This window comes from Homo sapiens, chromosome 7 (assembly GCF_000001405.40).
Source record: "Homo sapiens chromosome 7, GRCh38.p14 Primary Assembly".
Lineage (NCBI taxonomy): Eukaryota > Metazoa > Chordata > Mammalia > Primates > Hominidae > Homo > Homo sapiens.
The window spans coordinates 18,402,394-18,423,088 of record NC_000007.14 but is presented as its reverse complement, the minus strand read 5'-3'; the positions used below and the strand labels follow the sequence as shown (position 1 = coordinate 18,423,088).

The 20,695-nt window shown below is 35.6% G+C and overlaps 1 protein-coding gene across 8 annotated transcripts in view, besides 2 other annotated features; it reads right to left on the bottom strand.

The window, feature by feature from the left end:
• The window catches only part of HDAC9 (histone deacetylase 9), a 915,592-nt gene that overhangs the window by 579,328 nt on the left and 315,569 nt on the right, over positions 1-20,695 (bottom strand). The window lies entirely within an intron of this gene.
• Positions 1,604-2,803: an enhancer, noted in NCBI's record as "MED14-independent group 3 enhancer chr7:18459909-18461108 (GRCh37/hg19 assembly coordinates)". NCBI's record gives its function as "activates an origin of replication core promoter dependent on BRD2, BRD4, P300/CBP and CDK7 cofactors, and independent of MED14, by STARR-seq in HCT116 cells {active_cell/tissue: HCT116}" and the evidence as "EXISTENCE:reporter gene assay evidence [ECO:0000049][PMID:35650434]".
• Positions 15,144-15,645: an enhancer, noted in NCBI's record as "NANOG hESC enhancer chr7:18447067-18447568 (GRCh37/hg19 assembly coordinates)". NCBI's record gives its function as "activates a minimal SCP1, AML or CMV promoter by ChIP-STARR-seq in naive H9 embryonic stem cells {active_cell/tissue: H9 hESC(naive)}" and the evidence as "EXISTENCE:reporter gene assay evidence [ECO:0000049][PMID:30033119]".

The following is a 20,695-nucleotide window of genomic DNA, read 5'->3' as shown; positions in this document are numbered from 1 at the left end:
ATCCACTAGTTTAAACCTGTTATATTTTTAGTAAAGTGCATCTCAATTACCCAATAGCAGTCTGCTATAAAATAACTTTTGATAGAAAACTGATGCATGTGTAGCCAAAGAGAACCCTTTCCACATTACACTTTAAGGGCATACCTTGGACTATGAGATTGAAAGTTTTGAGACCTAACCTCTCCATATGCAAACTTAGGACTGTAAAGAAGCAGTAAAATTATTAACATAAACTTAAGATAGGAAACCAGTCTTGAGAGGGGAAAAAAATAACCTTTAACCCAATCCATTCTGAGGTAAGCAGTGGCTGTGTGTGTGTGTGTGTGTGTGTGTGTGTGTGTGTGCGCGTGTGTGTGTCTTAAAGCTAATGACAGGTTGGCCTGTGACCTGCTGCTACTTTTTCTCTCCAAGTCCAAACCCCACAGTGATTCCTTCCTTTCCCATGACCTATTGCCAGACTTCTGCTTTCTTTCCCCACAGGCCTGGCTTCCCCCTCCTTTGAAGATTCTGTTTTATAAAATCAATGCCTCATTCTTGCCTAATAGAGTGCTCTTTAGAGACCACCACTATTAGTCCATGGACAGAAACTGGGCAAAGTGGAATAGATTAGGATTTTCTGCATGCGTATAAGTATTTGTTTATGATCGATTTGTAATTGGCATATGCATTCTCCAACCAGGCTACCTCACCTGACAATATTGAATCTCTTGTTGCTATTGCTTGGCTGATTGCTAGTTGCCAATATCTTCTCCTTTCTAGTCTTTCTCCCTTGCAATAACTAGACCGTGTTTCCTTTACTGAAATAGAATAGGATTAAATGAAGCAACAAAATAAGGGGAAACTGAGGAGAAAGGGAAGAATTTCCCAACTCTTTTCTTGCCATTTTATTGGCCACTAGAAGACCGATGCTAGGAAATGAAAAAGTCTTTAGTGTGCTTGGAGGGAGAATAAACTAGAACCAAGGCATTAACTTCCAGATGTGAGAATATGTCCTCTTTATATCATCTGGAAAATAAATGGAGTAAAAGTAGAATAGAAGGATCTACATTTAGGCACAGCAAGAAAACACAAGGATATGCAGTGGCTCCTAAAAATAGATTCCAACAGACACACAATGGCAGTCACAGAAAAACATGATCAAGCCCGAAAGATATACCCAGATTAGGAGTCACCACCACCATGATCCCTTCTGGGATTAGTCCAGGGCTCAGCTTCCACAAACAATAACCACCAGCCTTTCAAGATTTAGTGCTGTCCTTACAAGAGACTGTTTTCACTCAGGGCTCTCATTAATCTTGTGCATTCACCCTGAGTCTAATCACGTGGTGAGCTAAGGTTAAGAGACTGTTTTGGGGGAGCTAAATGCTTACTTGTGAGGTAAACTCACTCATCCGTGACACTGAGCTACCAAGAGGGCAGTGAAAGAAATAATTTAGGAAATTATGCCCTGGAAGTTTCACTTTATGAACGTGTGAATCTGTCTCCCAGCTTCAAAGTTACCTCATTTGGGAAAAAGTTCCCTGTATCTTTCCAGACATAAAAATAATTGTGTTCTTTCTGTTTTATTCTATTTCTTTCTTTTCTTCCTTTTCCTTTTCTTTCTTTTCATTTTTTCATTCTTTCTTTCTTTCTCTTTCTCCCTTTTCTCTTTCCCTTTCCTTCCTTTCCTTTCCTTCCTTCTTTTCTTCCCTCCCTCCCTTTCTCCTTCCATCCCTCCCTCCCTTCCCCCTTCCTTCCTTTTTTCTGTTTTTAAGAGATGTCATATTTTCTCATTTTAATGCAAGTTTTGAGATAAAAGATTTTGGAAAGAAGTGTTTTGAAATTTACCTGTTTCTTAAAGAACTACTTTTAAACTAACTCACTTTGCAAAATTATTCTAAATATGAAATAATTTCTTGAAAACACTACAGAATCAACTATCTAAAATAACAATATTTCTATGGTCACCTAACAATATAGTTTTCATTAAGAATACACAATTTTAAGGATAATGAAGGGTAAGGGGAGGTAGGACATAGTACAGAAGCAGAATTTTAAATGGTAAAAATGAAAGCAAATCAAGGTACAAGGTAAGGCATTATGATGCATGTCTAGGCATGCCCTCATTATGCTATATCTTTGCATGAGCTGTTACTTCTGCCTGGAATGTTCTTCCAGCAGATCTTTGCATGGCAGCCTGTTTCTCATTCAAGTATCAGCTTACACGCTAGTCCTTGGAGGGGCCATCCTTGACCACACAATCTAAAGCAGGTGTCCAAGCACACTTAATTGCTTCATTTTGTTTTACTTTCTTCTGGGTAGTATCACTACCTGATATTTTCTTGTTTGGTTTATTCACCTTTTATTTAAGCCCCTCCCCCAATTAAAAAATGAGTTCTGTAAGATCAGGGATATTATTTTTCTTCTCACCACTGAGTCTGCATGATCCACAAGAATGTCTGCCAGAAATTGGGTACTTAATAAAAATTTATGGAGTCAGTGAATAAACAAGTAAATGAATGTATGCTTTCAGAAGACTTTACTTACCCTGCAGCATGAATTTTATGAGTTTTAAATATGAAAAATCTTTATCAAGAAGAAACTGAAGTATCACTGATACAATGCTGTAACTAAAACCATAAAGAGAACAGGAACTCTGTTTATTGTTATATTATTATACCAGGGCCTATCCTTCAAACCTAGAGTGATTTACTAAGATTTTACTATTACAGACAAGCTGAGCACATTGAACTTTGATATCGTTACCTCTAGCAATCACAAAAAGTAACATGAGAGAAGTCAGTGATTTCTGCAAACAAAATAACTGCAGAAAGTACACCTATTCCTAGGCCTGAAATGCAGACTTCATGTCAACAGTCTAGAAGGATAAATAAATCATCTGGGGTAATCAGATAGTACGCTTGTCCCAAGTGCAGGAAAACTACATTTAGGAAGACAATGTTTGTTCCTGCCTGGCCTTCCAAACAACTCTAACAATTTATCTAATCTCAGTGGTTTATGAGTTTTGTTTATCTCACACAGGTCCGCTTCTCTTTCCCAACAATTTCTATAGACTAGCAGAGCTTTTTGTTTTTACAAAACAGGGGCTATTCTCATAGTGCCTGTACCTGAGTCTGTAATCTGCAGGTGCAGGCCTCCGAGATTCATGGGCTACCATCGCTGGAAAGCTGCACTCTTCCCAATGTGCAGGAAACAGGCTATAGGAGCTTTTCATAGTAATGGTGTATGCTTGTAATTTTTAATGAACCTACCCAGTGACATATCCTTGCAGCTATTTTCACAAAGAAACCAGAAGGCTTTTATAAAAATGGAAATATTTTAGGAGATCTTAAGCAAAAGAAAAGATTTATTAAAAAAAAAATGGGTCACACTTCTGGAATGTCTGTTTCCTTTGGTTTCCAACCCTCTTCAAAGGTCTACAAGGCTTATTTCAACAAGAGTGTAATTTATCATTCTCCCCTTTAAATAAAGAGTTCTGTATAATAACCGGAGTAATAAATTGTGCATAGAATAGAGTCGTTTCTCCTCTTTGGAGATTGTGAATAGCGTCTGGAGAGAAATACTGCCAGGAAATGCTTAGTGGAAAACACTAAAACTTATCTTCTCACTTGGAGGCAGTAGATGGAGCACAGTCTTTGCCTGACTCAAACGGGGGTCTCATATATGGCTTTACATTTGCTGTGAAACCTTGAGCAGTTACTTAACTCTTTAAGCCTCAATTTCTTCATTTGTAAAAGAATAATAATTGTGGCTACTTCAAATAATTTCTATAAGTACTGAATGATACACTTAATACATCAATAATTGACACATATTTATTATTAATATCATAGTTAAAAAGGCATTTTTTCTCATTGGTCATATGTTCATGACAAAGAGGGCAGGAACCAAATCAATTCCTGTTTCCTTGTCATACAATAGAAAGAAATAATATTAGGAAACAATGAAAATTAAAAATACATCTCCAAATAGTGCTTTTAAGTATTAATGAAATAATTGATTTCCATATCTTCTATATGGTGTAAAGAAAAGGACATATAAAGATGACACAAGTTAGCCATTCAGACATGTGCCATTGTCCCTAAAGATTCTATGAGTTGTACAGGGCAGATGCTCAAAAACAAAACAAAGAAACAAACAAACATTACTTCTCTGAATAGTCTTAGGTAATCAATCTTTGAATAAAAATGGGTAAAGTATTTGAGCGTATACAAACAGTTGTTTCCAGACTATTGGAGTACAAAAATGTTATGGGGACTCCACATAGCATGCACCCCCTCTTGTACTTTTGCCAGTTAATGAATGAAAAGAAAAAAAACAAAACTCTTATAATCCATCAGCTATCATATTAAAAAAAAATTCTTACGATTCATCAGCTTTCATATTAAAATTCAATTAAGCATAAAATTTTATCACTAATAAGAATGACAAAGTAAAAAATAAAGTCCTTTAAATTGAATAAATTTAGTTTTGTGAAAAACTTCCTAATTCTCATTGTTCTGTGGCCTGGTAAAATCATCCTTAAAGGTAAGTACCCATACTTTCATGTGACTTTGGAAAACACTTCCACAATCTATTAAATTACCCACAATCATACTATTTCATTATCTTATTTTTAAAAACTTTAAGTGTTCGTGTAGCTGTAGTTTTTTTTTTTTTTTTTTGGTTTGTATACTTTTCCAATTTTTAAAAAAAGGCAAGTTTTTATTTTCTGAAAAGAAAAAAGTAAATATAAAGGTGTATTCAATAGAAAAAATACTAGGATTTATTCTCTTGAGTTTTACTCTCTGAAGTGGACACTTTGGTAGTTAAGTCTAAAAGTCTTCCCACTTCAACTCTGCATGAAGTGTCAAGGAAGTTCTGCCTTCAACTTGTAGTAGCAGGAATTGAATTTACCCTTCTGCCTGAAACAACTAAAACCCTGAAGCGAACAAAACCAAAAGCTGAGCAACGGTTTTCAAGATTCTAGACTTGAGCCATCAAAGGATAGCAATCCTGAGAGATGAGAAACAAAGGTGGTGAGCTCTATGATTGTGCAAAGTTGTTGCCAAGAGAGCATTTCTATATGATGGCATAGGGAGGGAGAGTCCGGGGGAGCGTGGTGGACATCCATCCAGACTTGAGGAAACAGAGCTGAGATTTCAGGGACAATAAAGCAGTTAGAGTTTTCTGGATAGAGCACCAGAGACAAGAGGGCTGAACAGGCACAGAACTCTAAAAATCTATAAAAGATCTCTATTAACTATTCAGCAGAGTGCAAATTAATACATATATGTATGGGAACTATTTGAGGCAAGAGAAAGTACCACCTGAGAGGCCTAAAGCTAACAGCGACCAGCACTCACACAGGCCAGGAAGAATGCTGTTCCTACCAGCCATGCTAGAAAACTTCATAATGGAAACTGTATTCAGTAGAGTATCCAGAAGTGTGTTGTATCAGTACTAGAAAATAATTAGTCAAAAACTAAACACTGCATTAGTCCTGATAAATCTCAAAAACAACACTCAAGAGGATAAAACTGTTTATAAGTAACTTAACTGCACCCCAAAACAAACTAAGATTCATAGGAGTATGAAAATATCTAGCACCCAAGAAGTTAAAACTCACAATGACTGGTTTCCAAAAAAAATTATCAGGATTGTTAAAAAGCAGAAAAATATGACCCATAGTGAGGAGAAAAGCCAACGAATTGAAAATGATCCAGCACTGAAACAGATGTTAATAGCAGACAAAGATATTAAGACAGTTATTGAAACTGTAATTACATGTTTAAAACGTTAAGTGGAAATACAGAAGATATAAAAAAGATGGAAGTTGAACTTCTAGAGTGAAAACTACAATATATGAGATTAAAATATACAATGGATAGGCTAAACGGCAGAGGAGACAATGCAGAAGAAAAGATTAGTAAATGTGAAGGCATAGCAATGGAAATTACCCAAAAGAAAGCACAGATAGAAAATTAGATAATAAAAAGTCAGTGGGCCCTGGGATAGCTTTAGGCAGTCTAATATATTCGTAACTGGAGTCACCAAAGGCAAGGGATGGAAAAATATTTGAAGGATATCTAAATTTAATGAAATCTATAAACTCACCCATCCAAAAATCTCAGCGAACCCCAAGCACAAGAAGCATAAAGAAAACTTGACCAAAATACACCATAATCAAATACTCAAAACCAAAACTGAAGAGAAATTATTTTACAAATTTACAGTAAAAGAAAAATCACACACAAAGAGACAAAATATGAATGACAGCTAGTATTTCTTAGGAAACAGTATAGGCAAGGAGACAGTGGGTCCACTTATTTAAAATACTGGCAAAAAAGGAGATCCAAAGGTGACATTAATTACTACAAATTCTATAGATATTATGAAGATAATAAGGTAATATTATAAACAATTTTTTTCAATTGAATTGAAGAACTTGAAGAGGACAAACTCTTTGAAAAACCCTATCAAAGCTTACTCAAGAAGAAATAAATAACCGTAACAGCCCTATATCTGTTATAGACATTAAATATTTGGCAAAACACCTTCCCACAGAGAAAATACGAGGCCTGATGACTTCACTTGCAAATTCTATAAAATGATTAAAGAAAATATAATACCAATTCTACACAGCTCCTCCAGAAAAATGAAGAGGAGGTAATACTACCTAACCCCAATGAGGTATTACTCTAATAATCAAAACCTGACAAAGATATTACAAAAAAACTACAGAAAATAGTAATCTCCTTCATGAACATAGATGTAAAATTCTTTTTTTGTTGTTGTTTTTTGTTTTTTTTTGAGATGGAGTTTTGCTCTTGTTGCCCAGGCTGGAGTATAATGGCACGATCTCGGCTCACTGCAACCTCTGCCTCCCGGGTTCAAGCGATTTTCCTGCCTCAGCCTCCTGAGTAGCTGGGATTACAGGCATGCGCCACCATGCCCGGCTAATTTTGTATTTTTAGTAGAGATGTGCTTTCACCATGATGATGGTCAGGCTGGTCTCAAACTCCTGACCTCAGGTGATCCGCCCACCTTGGCCTCACAAAGTTTTGGGATTACAGGCGTGAGTCACTGAGCCTGGCTGCAAAAATTCTAAATAAAATTTTAGCAACTCCAATCCAATAATATATTAAAAGGATAATACATCATGACCAAGTGAAGTTTATCACAAAAAAATGCATAGATGATTTAGCATTTGAAAATCAGTCAGTGCAATTCCCTATAACTAAAAAAAAGAGCAAGAATACAGTAAAGATATAACAATAGTAATCCCATACTTGAAATCTGCAAAACATATATAGATACTCAGTTATTTCAGAATTAAAATGTTTAAATGATCTCTAAAAGGAACTACACTTGCAAAATTTTAAGTGAACACAGGGGCTAGAAAACCTTGATACTGCATCATAACATTCTCATATACTGTTCAGGCACGTTTCACCACATGAAGTTTTTAAAAAACAAAAACCAGCAAAACCTGAAATCATCATTCTTTGAGCAGAATAAATTTTCCCTCTCATTATTATCATGAGAAAAAAGCAGACCAAAAAGATAATTATGTTAGAGAGCGTTGCTCTTTATAAAAACATGAAGTATTACACTAATCATCTTATCCAACTATGGGTAGCTAAATGCCTCTCTTTGATTGCCACTGGACCAAGTTGTGAGGTTCCTGATGGATTCACTAAAGGCCTCTAAAGAAGGAAGAGGTACAGCTGAGAGGCTCCTAACAGTAGCTACCAATTAGCCAATGTGGAAATATTTCAGTATTTTTAAAACTAGCGCAGTTGTACCAGTGTGAACTGGCTTAACATCAGCCCCATGGGTTCTAGTTTACACAGAAAAACACATACACTTTAAGCCATCGAGAACTACATCACAGTCTATCAGCATCGTGTTCTACTATAAGTAACGCCATTAGAAAGAGCAGTGTACCAGGAGGGAGAGGATTAGAGTTCTCACCTCAGTTTTGACCAATTAGCAGCTGTGTAAACTCTGTCAAGCTACTTAATGCCGCTGAGTATCAGCTTTCTCATCTGTAAAATTCGGGAAAATATTTGGGAACACAATGAGAAGAAGGGTGAGGAACTAACAAAGAGAAAAGAAAGAGGCACACAGGCCATAGAACAAATAGGCGAGGTAGGAAGCCACGGAAAGCAGAGAATGAGGACCAAATACAAAGGGTTTCAAGTAAGAGTATTCTCTACAAAAAGGAAGAGGAGGAAAAAAAGTTGAGGTAAAAATATCAAACATCCTCTGCTTCCCCATTAAATGTAAAGTCAACCAGGATAGTCTTCAAAAATAACAAAGAGCCTTTCTTCTTAAGTTATATTCATTCTTAATTTCTTCTAAGAAGCGTTTGTGCCTACCATTACAATGTTTTTCTGTATTTAGAAGTAAACATTGATATTCTTAATATTCTGCCAACCTGTTTATTCAATAAGAACAGGCAATGTAACTTGGAAATAGCAAGATGTAAAAAATTTATATCTCAGAGGTCACTTGTTTACTTATAATTTATTTGTTACAAATATCTAAAAGGCATTTTAGACAGCAAATATAACTAAATACTTACGTTACTGAATTAAAATTCAAATAAAATGCATAGTGAAAGGTATGTCCTTGTAGTTAGGCTGAGATAAGTTATTTACCTCAACTGAATACTAAATTTAATTTCCTGCCAGCCAATGCAAAAAAAAAAAAGGAAGGATGAGTAAGGAGCAGACATGTCTCCTATTATTTGATAAGAAAAAACATTAAAGTTACTTTTTGTCTTTTTTTGTCCTTTAATGGACATCAGGTAATATAATGGTCAATATCATTGTGACATCTTTGCAAAATACATGAAAGTAGGATATTTCCTTTAACAAAATGAAAAAAAAATCTGAAAGTTCTGCTTATCTCAAATATTTTTCAAATTTTCACTTAAATACATTTTGAAATTAAATATAAATAACCATGTCTTTTAAATGTCTAAGTACTTTAATATCTTAGCAGCATTCTAGTTACAGCACCTCAGTTTTAAAACGCCGTTCATTTACTTATAATTTCTTCCCTCTGGCCTTCTAATTTCCTTCTGAGGGGAAGTTTCTCATGTGTGGTCTGAGTCTGAAGGGAGTTTATTAGCACTTTCACTTAAATCTCTTATCATAACTGGCTTATACAATATTCAAGGAAAAGTCCCAAATATTAAAGTATGTTTACCTTAACACAAAGATATAGCACCTACCACAGAGTTAATCATTATTAGCTAATGCCCAAATGCTAAATATCTTTAGTTTTAGGCAGCAAAAAACACCAGCCTCAGTCTTGCAATGATGTATGAGGTCATTTTACTCACCTAAATTCTAAGTACAGTATACAGAATAGTGATTCCCAGCCTTTTCAATATACCCTTTTATTATCTATTCCTCTATGTATACAATTAATTCAAAAATTTTGTCTACCAAGCAAATTGTATAAAGTAAGAATTATATAGTTTCATATTATTTATAAACAAAGACACATATAATGGCAAATCAGAGCTTCCGACATATAGGAGAGACAATGTTATCATACTGTTGATGTAGTAATAAACAGTGAAAATGCTCAACAGTTTAAGTCTTAAGTCTTGTGTATCTTTAAGTGGGGGAAAGGTATTAACATTAGGACTTCAAAAATATCAACAAGGAAACTAATGTTTAAGTTGGTGAATCCTTAGGGATCCAGAGATAGACTCCAGATTGGAATCATTAGTTCCAAAGAATTCTTTTCTTTCTCTTTACAGTCTTTTAATGGAACCTAGAGAACCAGTGGTATATTATACTTATCACATACTCTTTCCTCAAATTAAAACTGAGACGTCTGGGCTTCCTTCTGCTCTACTTTCCTTTTTTGATATCATTGCAGCAAATACCAATTCATAACAAAAATATCTATAGGAAATTACATATTATTATTTTGCATACCCTTCAAATTGCGATGAAAACTTTCCTATTTAGTTGGTAGCTAAAACTAATGAATGCCTTTAAATGAAATTTTAGTAGGTAGACATCCTTGACAGAGAAATTTTACAATTTACTTAAGCTAAAACATTTTTAATTAGTTAATCTAAAGATGGACATATTTTAAAACCTTGACTGGCACTTGTTTCTAATGTAGTTTGAATTGTTTCATATTCCACTAATTTCTAAAGTTTTTAAAATCAATATTCATTTAATTTTGAATTTTAAAAAATAAATAATCCATTTCATTACACTATTGTTTTAATTTTTTCAAGTTTTCATTAGATGAAGAGTCTTCCTTTGCTAGACGGCCTTTTCTTCTAATTTTTACATAATTTTTACCTCACAGTTGAACTAAGAAAACTGGAGATATGAGTCCCTGTTGCATGTGGCATATACTTTTTATTATGAATAACATTCACTTTGTTTTCTGCCATGTAATAAAGAGATCAGGCTTTGAAGCAAATCACAACTGAGCGTGAGTCCCTTAGTGATGCAACGGCCAGCAAGTTACTTCACACATCTGAACTGCCGGATCCTCATCTAACAGGAGTATGATCGTGTCTTCATCATAGGATTCCTATGGCACTAAATGGTAAAAATAAATGATTTATAAGGCATATAGCACAAAGCTGACGAACAAAGGTGCAAGCAATCACTAATACCATCCCTTATAGTACTGTGGGAAGCCTTCCTTTCCTGAAACCTTTGCCTCTGTTTTCTCCTCTGATTGATACATTCCATCGTAGTTTTGACTTTTTTGTTATTATAGTTTTTTCAGTGAGCTATATATTGTTTGTTTATTTATCTACTCTGGCTAGAAAATAAAGAATGTGCAAGAAAAAACAAATCCTTATAACCTATTCTTAAATAACATTTTCTCCCAGACAGGCACCTAGTAAAAGACCTACACAGATGCTCCTCCACTTAGGATGGGGTTATAACCCTATAAGCCCATCATACATTGAAAATACAGCAAGTTGAGGCTGGGCGCAGTGGCTCACACCTGTAATCCCAGCACTTTGGGAGGCTAAGGCAAGCGGATCATTTGAGGTCAGGAGTTCAAGACCAGCCTGGCCAACACAGTGAAACCCCTTCTCTACCAAAAAAATACAAACATTAGCTGGGCATAGTGGTGCACACCTGTAGTCCCAGCTACTCAGGAGGCTGAGGCAGAAGAATCACCTGAACCCGGGAGGTGGAGGATGCAGTGAGGTGAGAACATGCCACTGCACTCCAGCCTAGGCAACAGAGTGAGACCCTGTCTGATAAAAAAAAAAAAAAAAAAAAAAAAGCAAGTTGAAATTACATTTAGTACACCAAACCTACTGTGAACATCATAGCTTTGCCTAGTCTACCTTAAATTTCTTCAGAAAACTTACATTAGCCTACATTTGGGCAAAATCATCTAACACAAAGACTATTTTTTAAAAAGCTAGCTGGGCACAGTGGCTTACGCCTGTAATCCCAGCACTTTGGGAGGCCAAGGCAGGCAGATCACGAGGTCAGGAGATCAAGACCATCTTGGCTAACATGGTGAAACCCCACCTCTACTAAAAATACAAAAAAATTAGCCAGGTGTGATGGTGTACACCTGTAGCCCCAGCTACATGCGAGGCTGAGGCAGGAGGATCGCTTGAACCCAGTAGGCGGAGGCTGCAGTGAGCCAAAATCACGCCACTGCACTCCAGCCTGAGTGACAGAGCAAGACTCCATCTCAAAAAAAGAAAAGAAGTCTAATATTTCATGTAATTTATTGAATACTGTACTAAAAATGAAACACAGAATGATTGTGTATTTGCAGTTTGATTTCTGCTGAAGGTGTATTACTTTTGTACCACCGTAAAGTCAAAAAAATCTTACGTCAAACCATCAAACATCGGGGACTATCTATATATAGAAAGTAGGTCTCCAGTAAATCTTGTGGACTGACTTGCAGCTTTCCCTAAGGTAAGATACCCACCAGCACTCCATGGATGTACCAAATACTCAGGCTGGAACTCTGGGCTTATTTGCTTATTAGCACCTCCCAAACACTGACAGACAAGCCTGTGCTACAAATGACTTCTTGCTGAGAAGCTTAGCACCTTTTCACTTGGCAAGAAATGATTTCCAAAACTAGGCTTTGATTCCCAAATACTTCCTTGACGATTATAATTCTATAAGGCTATTTTTTTTACTTCTTTCCTATAACATTGAGCTTGCTTCTCACAACCCTCATTAAAATGGTGAATTATTTGTAAAGCTATATTAATCATAAGACTTGATAAGAATATCATTTGGAGTACATACACAATTTAAAAAAATATTTAGGCAGAAACTTTTATAAAAGTCTCTATTCCCACCTTCTTAAATCTCACTGGGTCAAAAGAGTTGATGATTCTTCTTTCCTGACACAATATATCCTTTAAAAATAAGGAAATACATTCCTGTCAACTCTACTGTATGTACTACTGTCTCACATTTTAAAATGAGATTTTAAAAACAAAGCTAATTTAACAAAAGCCATAAAGGTCATTCAAGTCTTTATTAAAATATAGTACATTATCAGTGTATGTATGTATATAACATGTAAATAGTGTGTGTATATATACTTATTATCATATACAATTATATGCACACAATTGTCACGCTCAGAAAACATTCTTTGTTGAAACAAAGAACTATAGGTTCTTGGCAACCAATTTGGGAGACAAAATTTTTATGACTGATGTCAGAGCTAAAAGCCCAACAGGATTGTTCATCCAGCATTACTTCTTTCTTCATTATGTCCATTGCCAATGCCTTCCTGTGGTCCTCAGCTTCTCCATGACACACTCATCTTGTCCCTAAGTCTCTCCATCCCCTGGCCCCATGCAGTCCCACCTCCCTTGCTGCTCCATCACCCTGACCATAGGTTAAACCAATTTAGAAAATAACCATTTCTAAAGAATGAATTTTTCAACAAGTGCCAATGGATGAAGTACCTTCAAACTACATTATATATTTACCAAGAGAGTGAAGAAACTAAATCACAATCTAGTGTTCCAAAAGTGCTATATTAAGATTATGATGATACTAAGAGAAACAGACAGAAATTCTCCAAAAAAAAATGGGTAAAGAAAAATTATGGACTAAAAATTTAAAATAAAACGAATACTTTCTATTGTTCACTTTACTACCCTTTTCTTAGTTAAAGCTAATTCATATCACTATTTCTCTATGCTAAAACAAGCTATGCTCCTGGATACAAAGATCTACTTCTAAGATTTTCGGGCAAATGTTTAATTTAGCCAATATTTGAGGAGCTTTCCATCCTAAGATTACATGTAAAATATAAGAAAATAGAGTTTCCAAAGAACTACAATCCCCTTATCACTTTTTCCAAAATTTAGTTCATTATGTGGAATCACATCACTAGCCACAGTATATGTCTTTGTATTTCCTAATGAAAACATGGACTCGAAAAAGGAAACATACCATCTATTAAATGTAAGTAAAATTAAGCAAACACGGTCTTTTGAAAGTAAAAATAAAATGACAGATTTACAGTATTTCATGTGGTAGAAGCAATTTCTGAGACAAGGGCAGTTTCTGAGGGTTGGGAAGGGAATGCAGAGGGTGCTCTAAACTCAGTCTCAAAGAGGCACTACCAAGCTAATTATTTTCTTCTATGCTTGTCTATAAGCATTACACTTTTCACTTTCTGTGAAAAAAAGGCCCATCGTTAATGAGATCCATAAAGATTCCTTAATCAGCTTATACTGTGAAAGAGTATTAAAGTCTCCATTTTCACAACAGGCACATGAAATACACACTTTTATGATATATTACTAGCACAGGAACTTACATCTCTCTCCCCTTGAACCACCTGCAAATTTTAATAGTCATGTATCGCCAGGGTACCAGAAACTCATAAAAGTTTAACCTGCCAATTAACAAGTAGGTAAAGTTCCAGTCCTGTACCATAATTTGTTTGCTTCCAAGGCATAGACAGCAAAACCTACAAAATATTCCCTTGAATTTTTTTGCAAGGCAACTACATTCCAGGGCTGACTTCTTTCAAAAGTCACCAACAAGTAAAAGCACACAAACGCATATCAGAAATCACATCCTTATGGAGGGCATAAAGTTAGGAAAATGTGGAAGTCTAAAAACGGATTTGATTATCTCCAAAAAGCTGCTACCTGAAGGGTTTTATTTGCACTAGGTTGCTCTTGTTTCAAATTTAATCTGCGCCTTTTCTAATGTTGTGCTGTAGATCTGTGTCATTTGTTGCATTCTTTTTACCAAGGAGCTGCATTAGAAATTATTACATACTTCTAGGACTGTTTGCTCTTATGTAAATACCCAAACCATGATCTCAACCATAGGACCCACAACATAAAAAAACTAAAGAAATCATTGCAAGAAAGAAAAAGCCTCCCAATTCTTTTCTGTAACAATGGTGATGGTTACTAAGGACATTCCGATAGGATGACTTCAGGCTATGTAAATTTCATAAACGGCCCATTAGTGTCAAGGTCCTTGGTCTCAGTCCCAGCCCAGCTAGTCATACAAGGAATTACTGCCATATTAAGAAATTGGTTATTTTTTGAACTTACAGAACCAGGAAGAGCTATTTTCCTTTTCTAGTGTTTTATTTATGTGAACTAGCCTCCTAAGAAGGAAATTAAAAGATTTATGTCAGAAAGCTAGTAGAATTATTATTATAGCATCTGATTTTCCTATGGCTGTGAAAATACCTATATACTCAAAGGCCAAGAGACAGACACAAGTTAGGAATTTGTTCATTCATTCATTCATTCTCTTCCTTCATTGAGTGCCTTCTATAACTCAAGAATTATGTATTGTAGAAACAATAATTTTTTAAAAGACAACACATACTTGCCTTCATGTAGCTGATAATCTAGTGAGGAAAAACCTTTAGGTTGGTTCTTCAATATTTGCTGATTTTAACACAATTCATCCCCTTTTGTCATCAAATTAACAAAATCATCATACTAATAAGTATTAACACTTATTGAGTACCAACTTTGCGCCAAGTATAATGCTAAGCATTATACATACATCATCTCATTTAATCCCCTCAATAATTCCACGACGTAAGTACGATGTAAGTATGAGGTTAATTTGTCCATCGACACACAATTGAATATGGCCAGAACTCAAACTCACTCCATTAGAATCCAAAGTGTTTCTTCTTATGATTTTATTATCTCTATCTGAAAAATAATTTAGGATCAAATCTTAGCAGATCCTAACCTACTGAAAGACATTTTCTGCAGAACTTATATATCTAGACCAAAGGAAACACAATAGATTTCCTTTAACTGCGGGGAATAGCAGCATCCTTTTCCTTAATGGTCTCCGGAGTGCAGTCTTAATTGACATATGAAAAACAGTTCTGCCAGTTTTACTATTGTTCTATCGAATGGTGCATCCTAGTGCTCTAACATTTAACTCATAAATGCTTTGCAGGGTTTCAAGAATTCAAACTGCATTGTAATGTTATTAAGTGCCTACCCACATTCTGCTAGAGACTGTGTGAACAATGGGATGATTTTTTTTTTTATCCAAGATCTTACCTGGTGAACTGATGAATCACAGAAGGCTGCACATTGACTTTGAATTTCCTGTTTCTATTGGCTGTTCATACGTTTTTAGGCTCTTTGTTTGCCTAAACGTGTCACCCCACTTTGAGATTTGTTACAGTAGCTTGAGACATTAGAACACAATACATAAGGAGACAAGATTTTAATGTGCAACATTATTTGTCCCTGATGAACAACTATACTTACTGCAGAGATGTTCAAATAACATTTTGAACAAATGACTCTTGGGTCCAAGAAAGGAATCATCGGATAGCATTCAGGAGTTTTTCTAGATATAGAGCAAAGAACTCAATAAATAGGTGAACAAAACATGAAGATTAGGAAAGTGGAATCCTCTCCAACAGACTGAGAGATAAATAAGATCTGGAGTGAAAGAAAAAAGGACCAGACCTTAGACTTCGGAAGTTTAGAAAGAAAGAAATACATATAGTGAGATCAGGAGATTTCAGTAAGAAAGAATACCTAAGCTGGGTCTATACATATTGATACACCTTTAATTGCTTATAGACATATTGTTTATATATTTCTATTATTATTTTCCAGGCATGTAACCAAGTTGTTTATTTTATCTAAGAAGATATATCTGATTATTTCTGGGAACCTATCTCACATAAGTAATTTTAAGCAATACATCTTTATGTGTATAAAGAGAGTCCTTCATCACTATATTATTTTTAATAACTAGAAAAAGAGAGAAAAAAAACAAAGATGAAAGAACCTAAAACTCTAATCATAAGAGAGATGTTTCATACAATATGGTGTAGTTACTAGACCAAAATTAGGCATCCAAAAAAGTTATACGTAAAAGTATTTTAGAAAAAAAGGGGAAGGCCGGGCATGGCAGCTCACACCTGTAATCCCAGCACTTTGGAAGGCCAAGGCGGGTGGATCACGAGGTCAGGAGATTGAGACCATCCTAACACGGTGAAACCCCGTCTCTACTAAAAATACAAAAAATTAGCCGGGCATGGTGGCAGGCACCTGTAGTCCCAGCTACTCGGGAGGCTGAGGCAGGAAAATGGCGTAAACCCGGGAGGCGGAGCTTGCAGTGAGCTGAGATCGCACCACTTGCACTCCAGCCCGGGCGACAGAGCGAGACTCCATCTCAAAAGAAAAAAATAAAAAAAAAGAAAGAAAAAGAAAAAAAGGGAAATATTGATTGGGTTGGTACAAACATAATTTCAGTTTTTGCCATTAAAAGTAATTGCAAAAAACTGCAATTACTTTTACACCAACCTAATACTTGTCTTATAAAAATGTTTGGATGAGAAAGTAGGACAATGTTTTGTGTTAACTCTACTTACAATTATGGAAAAGTCATATTATTTTGAATCGATTAAATAATTTATAAACCAAAATGATACACTTGTTCATGTTATACTAGCTGAATTATCAGTATTTTTAAGAATGTTTTCATTATTCTAAAAACTGTAGGTAACATAATTGTACAATATTGCTTTTATATTTAAAACATATATTTACAACCAATGATTGGTCTAAAACTAACTGTTTGTGTGATAACTCCTGGTAGACAGGATTCATGAATCCCAGAGGGGAAGGGAGGCCAGTTACCCAGAAATCTGGTCAGAACAGAGAGGAACTGCCAGGCAATTGCAGGAAACCCAGCTAGAAACCACAGGCAACTAAGCAGAATCTGCCAAAGTTGTTTTGTTAAATTGTTTTTATGCTACAGGTTAAAGTGCTAAAGCGGTATTTTAGTTCAAGTGCTAAAGTTGAAGATGGCAAATTATTATCTGAACTTGAACTATTTTAAAACAAAAAATTCAAGTGTACCTTTTCTAACACTATCAGTTCTGCCTTAATTTCTTTCCCTAGCATATTTTTTTTTTCTCTCTTGAAAATCCTGCACATTCAAAAGATATTTTCTTTCTTCTTATGCCCCAATCTCCATTACCTTTCTAAGAAGGATGCCCAGGTAAGCTGGATATTGTTTTTCAGATTTGATGAACAAAAGTTGCTCAATACCAGGAGGAAAGGAACCAAAATGGCTATTCCCACTTCACTGTGGGTTACAGATGCTTCTATACTGGCTGTGCTGTATTTTCACTTGGGGAAGGAAAAGTGAGTAAGATAGGGGGATGATTATGGGGAGAAAATGTGTGGAGAGACACTGAAAAGCAATCTAGAACAGGAATCAATAAGCAGAATTAAATATGGCAAAAAATACTTAGAAATTGGAGTTATATTTGTGCATGTTTAGGTAAAAACAGGAATGTAAAACTAGTCTGAAGCAGCTCTGTTTTAAGGGAGAGCTAGGGAAAGTTTACTAGGTTTTCATTTCCAAATGAAGCTGTCTATGTACAGCATGTCCTCAAATAATGTTATTTTGTTATAACTTTGATGAAGAAAAAAATCAATTCCCTGCCGGGGGCCACTATCTATATGGAGTTTGCGCATGCTCCCTTTATCTGCGCGGGCTTTCTCTGGGTCCTCCTGTTTGCTCCCACAGCCCAAAGTTGCACATGTTCGGTGAATTGGTGTGTCCACATAGTCCCCATCTAAGTAAGTGCGAGGGTGTGTGTGAGTGCACCCTGCAATGGGATGGCGTCCTGCCCAGGGCTGGTTCCCTGAGCTGCTGGGGTGAGCTCTGGACACCCACAACCCTGAAGTAGAATAATCAGATAAACAATAATCGTACTTCTTTTTATTAATCTTTCTTTTTATACATTTCTACATATAGCTTACATTTATTTCAATAGTTAATATTAGAAGTATTTAGAAGTTTGGTGATTTTTGTGACCATAAATATACTGTAGAAACTTAACTATTGTTTATATCAATTAGCCTATGGTAAAACTGATTTTGTTATACAACGTTTCTCTTAAAGTTGCAGTTTCCAAGACCTATCAATGATTAAGTGAAGATTTACTGTATTTTGTGTTTCTAAGCTTAACTATTAATAGTATAAGAAACCCTAATTTCAAGAATACAAAGTGAAGTAAAATCAATTCAACATTAGTAATTATATTATATACCTGCCTAGGCACTAAGCACTGGAAACAAGTTAGACACAGCCCTTACCCTGTAGAACTTACAGTCTAGCGTAATCCTAGCATAATTCTCCAATATACAACCTATTCTCATTCTCCTTCTTCTAATGTGACATTGCTCTTTCATTCAGGATAAATCGTTTACATGATTTATTATTTTTCCCTTTAAAAAAAACATTACATTTGTCCTGCCTATGTATGTTATATACCTCTTAAAGACAGGATGCCTCTTACATTTTTGCTGGCTTTCAACTTGTCAATCAATAGATACCTTTTGGTGGACTAACTAGATATTAAATATGAATATAACATCATTGCATTACACGACATTATATTTGTATTTTTATATGACAAGTACATGTGGTCAAAGAAGAAATTTGAAGATACGTATTGCCTCATCCTTATTGATTTCTGATTAAGGTCAACTCCCCTTTTCTTTTCTGCATTGGCCTGTCAGTTTCTCCAACATGCCGCATTCCTAGCCTCCTCGAGAGCTCTAAAAGACTCTTCTGCTGCCTACAAGGTCTCGCCCCTCTTCATGGAACTAATGCTAACTCATTCAGGTCTGAGCTTGCAGACTACTGCTTCACAGAAGCTTATTTACCCTGCCCTACCCAGGGTAGATTAAGTCTCTCCATTAAATAGACTCATAGCAAGTTCTACTTTTCTTTCCCAATGTTTACAATATGTCTTAATTACATATTTTCTTCTATAACTATTTGATTAACATATGTCTTGATCTATAAAGCAAGAACTCAAAAGGCAAGAACTGTTTTTGCCTTGCTCACCATGGTGTACCAGATCAGAACCTTGGACATAGTAGCTACTCAATAAATGTTTATGAGTGAGCCAAGCCTACCTAGGGTTCATTTACGTATTTGTTTATGCATTTATTTATTTTCATTTACTCATTATTCATTTTGCCATTTCATTCTCACAAATATACATGGAGAAATTACTAGGACTAGGCACTGTGCTAGACTCTGATGCTACAACCAAATACACAGCAGGTGTATTTTTGAATATAGAAAAAAGACCCAGGAAAATAACAAGTGCAACAGCGTGTTTCGATTTTATGATAGAAAGAAATATGGAAGTACATGGAAAGAAATAGTTAAAAATAGTTAAACCTGTTCTGCCTTCCCCCAATAAATTAGTATTGATCAAATCATAAGACCTAGTATGCCATTCTATAGTAATGATGACTTTACCGTAAGAGTCACTGAATTCCATTATTATATCTTGGATATGTTTCTATTTGAGATAAAATGGCAAATTAGCATTATCTTGCTATGTAAGTATATACCTCACTGTATTTATACACTTAACTGGGAAATTTAAGTCTGTATGTACACACAGTCAATATAATTCCCAGCTCCAAATCTGTAAATAAAGATATTTTATATCCAATTCTCAAAACATGCAATCAGATGTACAATATGAAATGAAATGTAAACATATTTCCCTAAGCCACTAATTTACTATCAAGCAAGGGACTTTTCAGGATCAAGCCGACTCTGACTCACAGCTAGGCAATTCTGTGATTGCGTTTGCTTAAGCCACAGCCAGCGTTTTATATAATCGCTCTGTTTAGAACATCAGATTTCCTGTGGATTTTTTTTAGATTTGCTATGCCACCCAAAATTTTCTCTGAAGGGTAATATAATGTATATGGCTTTTTATTGAGTCTGTTCTTAAAAGAGGTGCCTAGCCAGTAAAGAAGTGCCTGAAAGCAACCTTTCATTCAACTGTTTTACATACAAAATTCATCCCAACCATCAGCAATACCACATATGAACCAGTCTCTCACCTCTATGTTCATTATTCACACTGCTACCAGAGTGAGTTCTCCAACCCAGAAATCTTATCATGCCTCTCACTTGCCTGAAACCTTCTGAGGGCACTCCGATACATTCATGATAAAAGTCCAGCTCCTTAGCTTGGCAATCAAAACCCTCCATGAACTGGTCCCTGTTTTACACTCCCAGCTCACCACCCACCTCACTCAGTCTTTTACTTTATACTACATTGATAGTGAGAAGTTAATGGCTTCTCTATCCCCCACACTGTCTCATGCCTTTGCACAGGCTCTTTCCTCAGATCAGAACCTCCT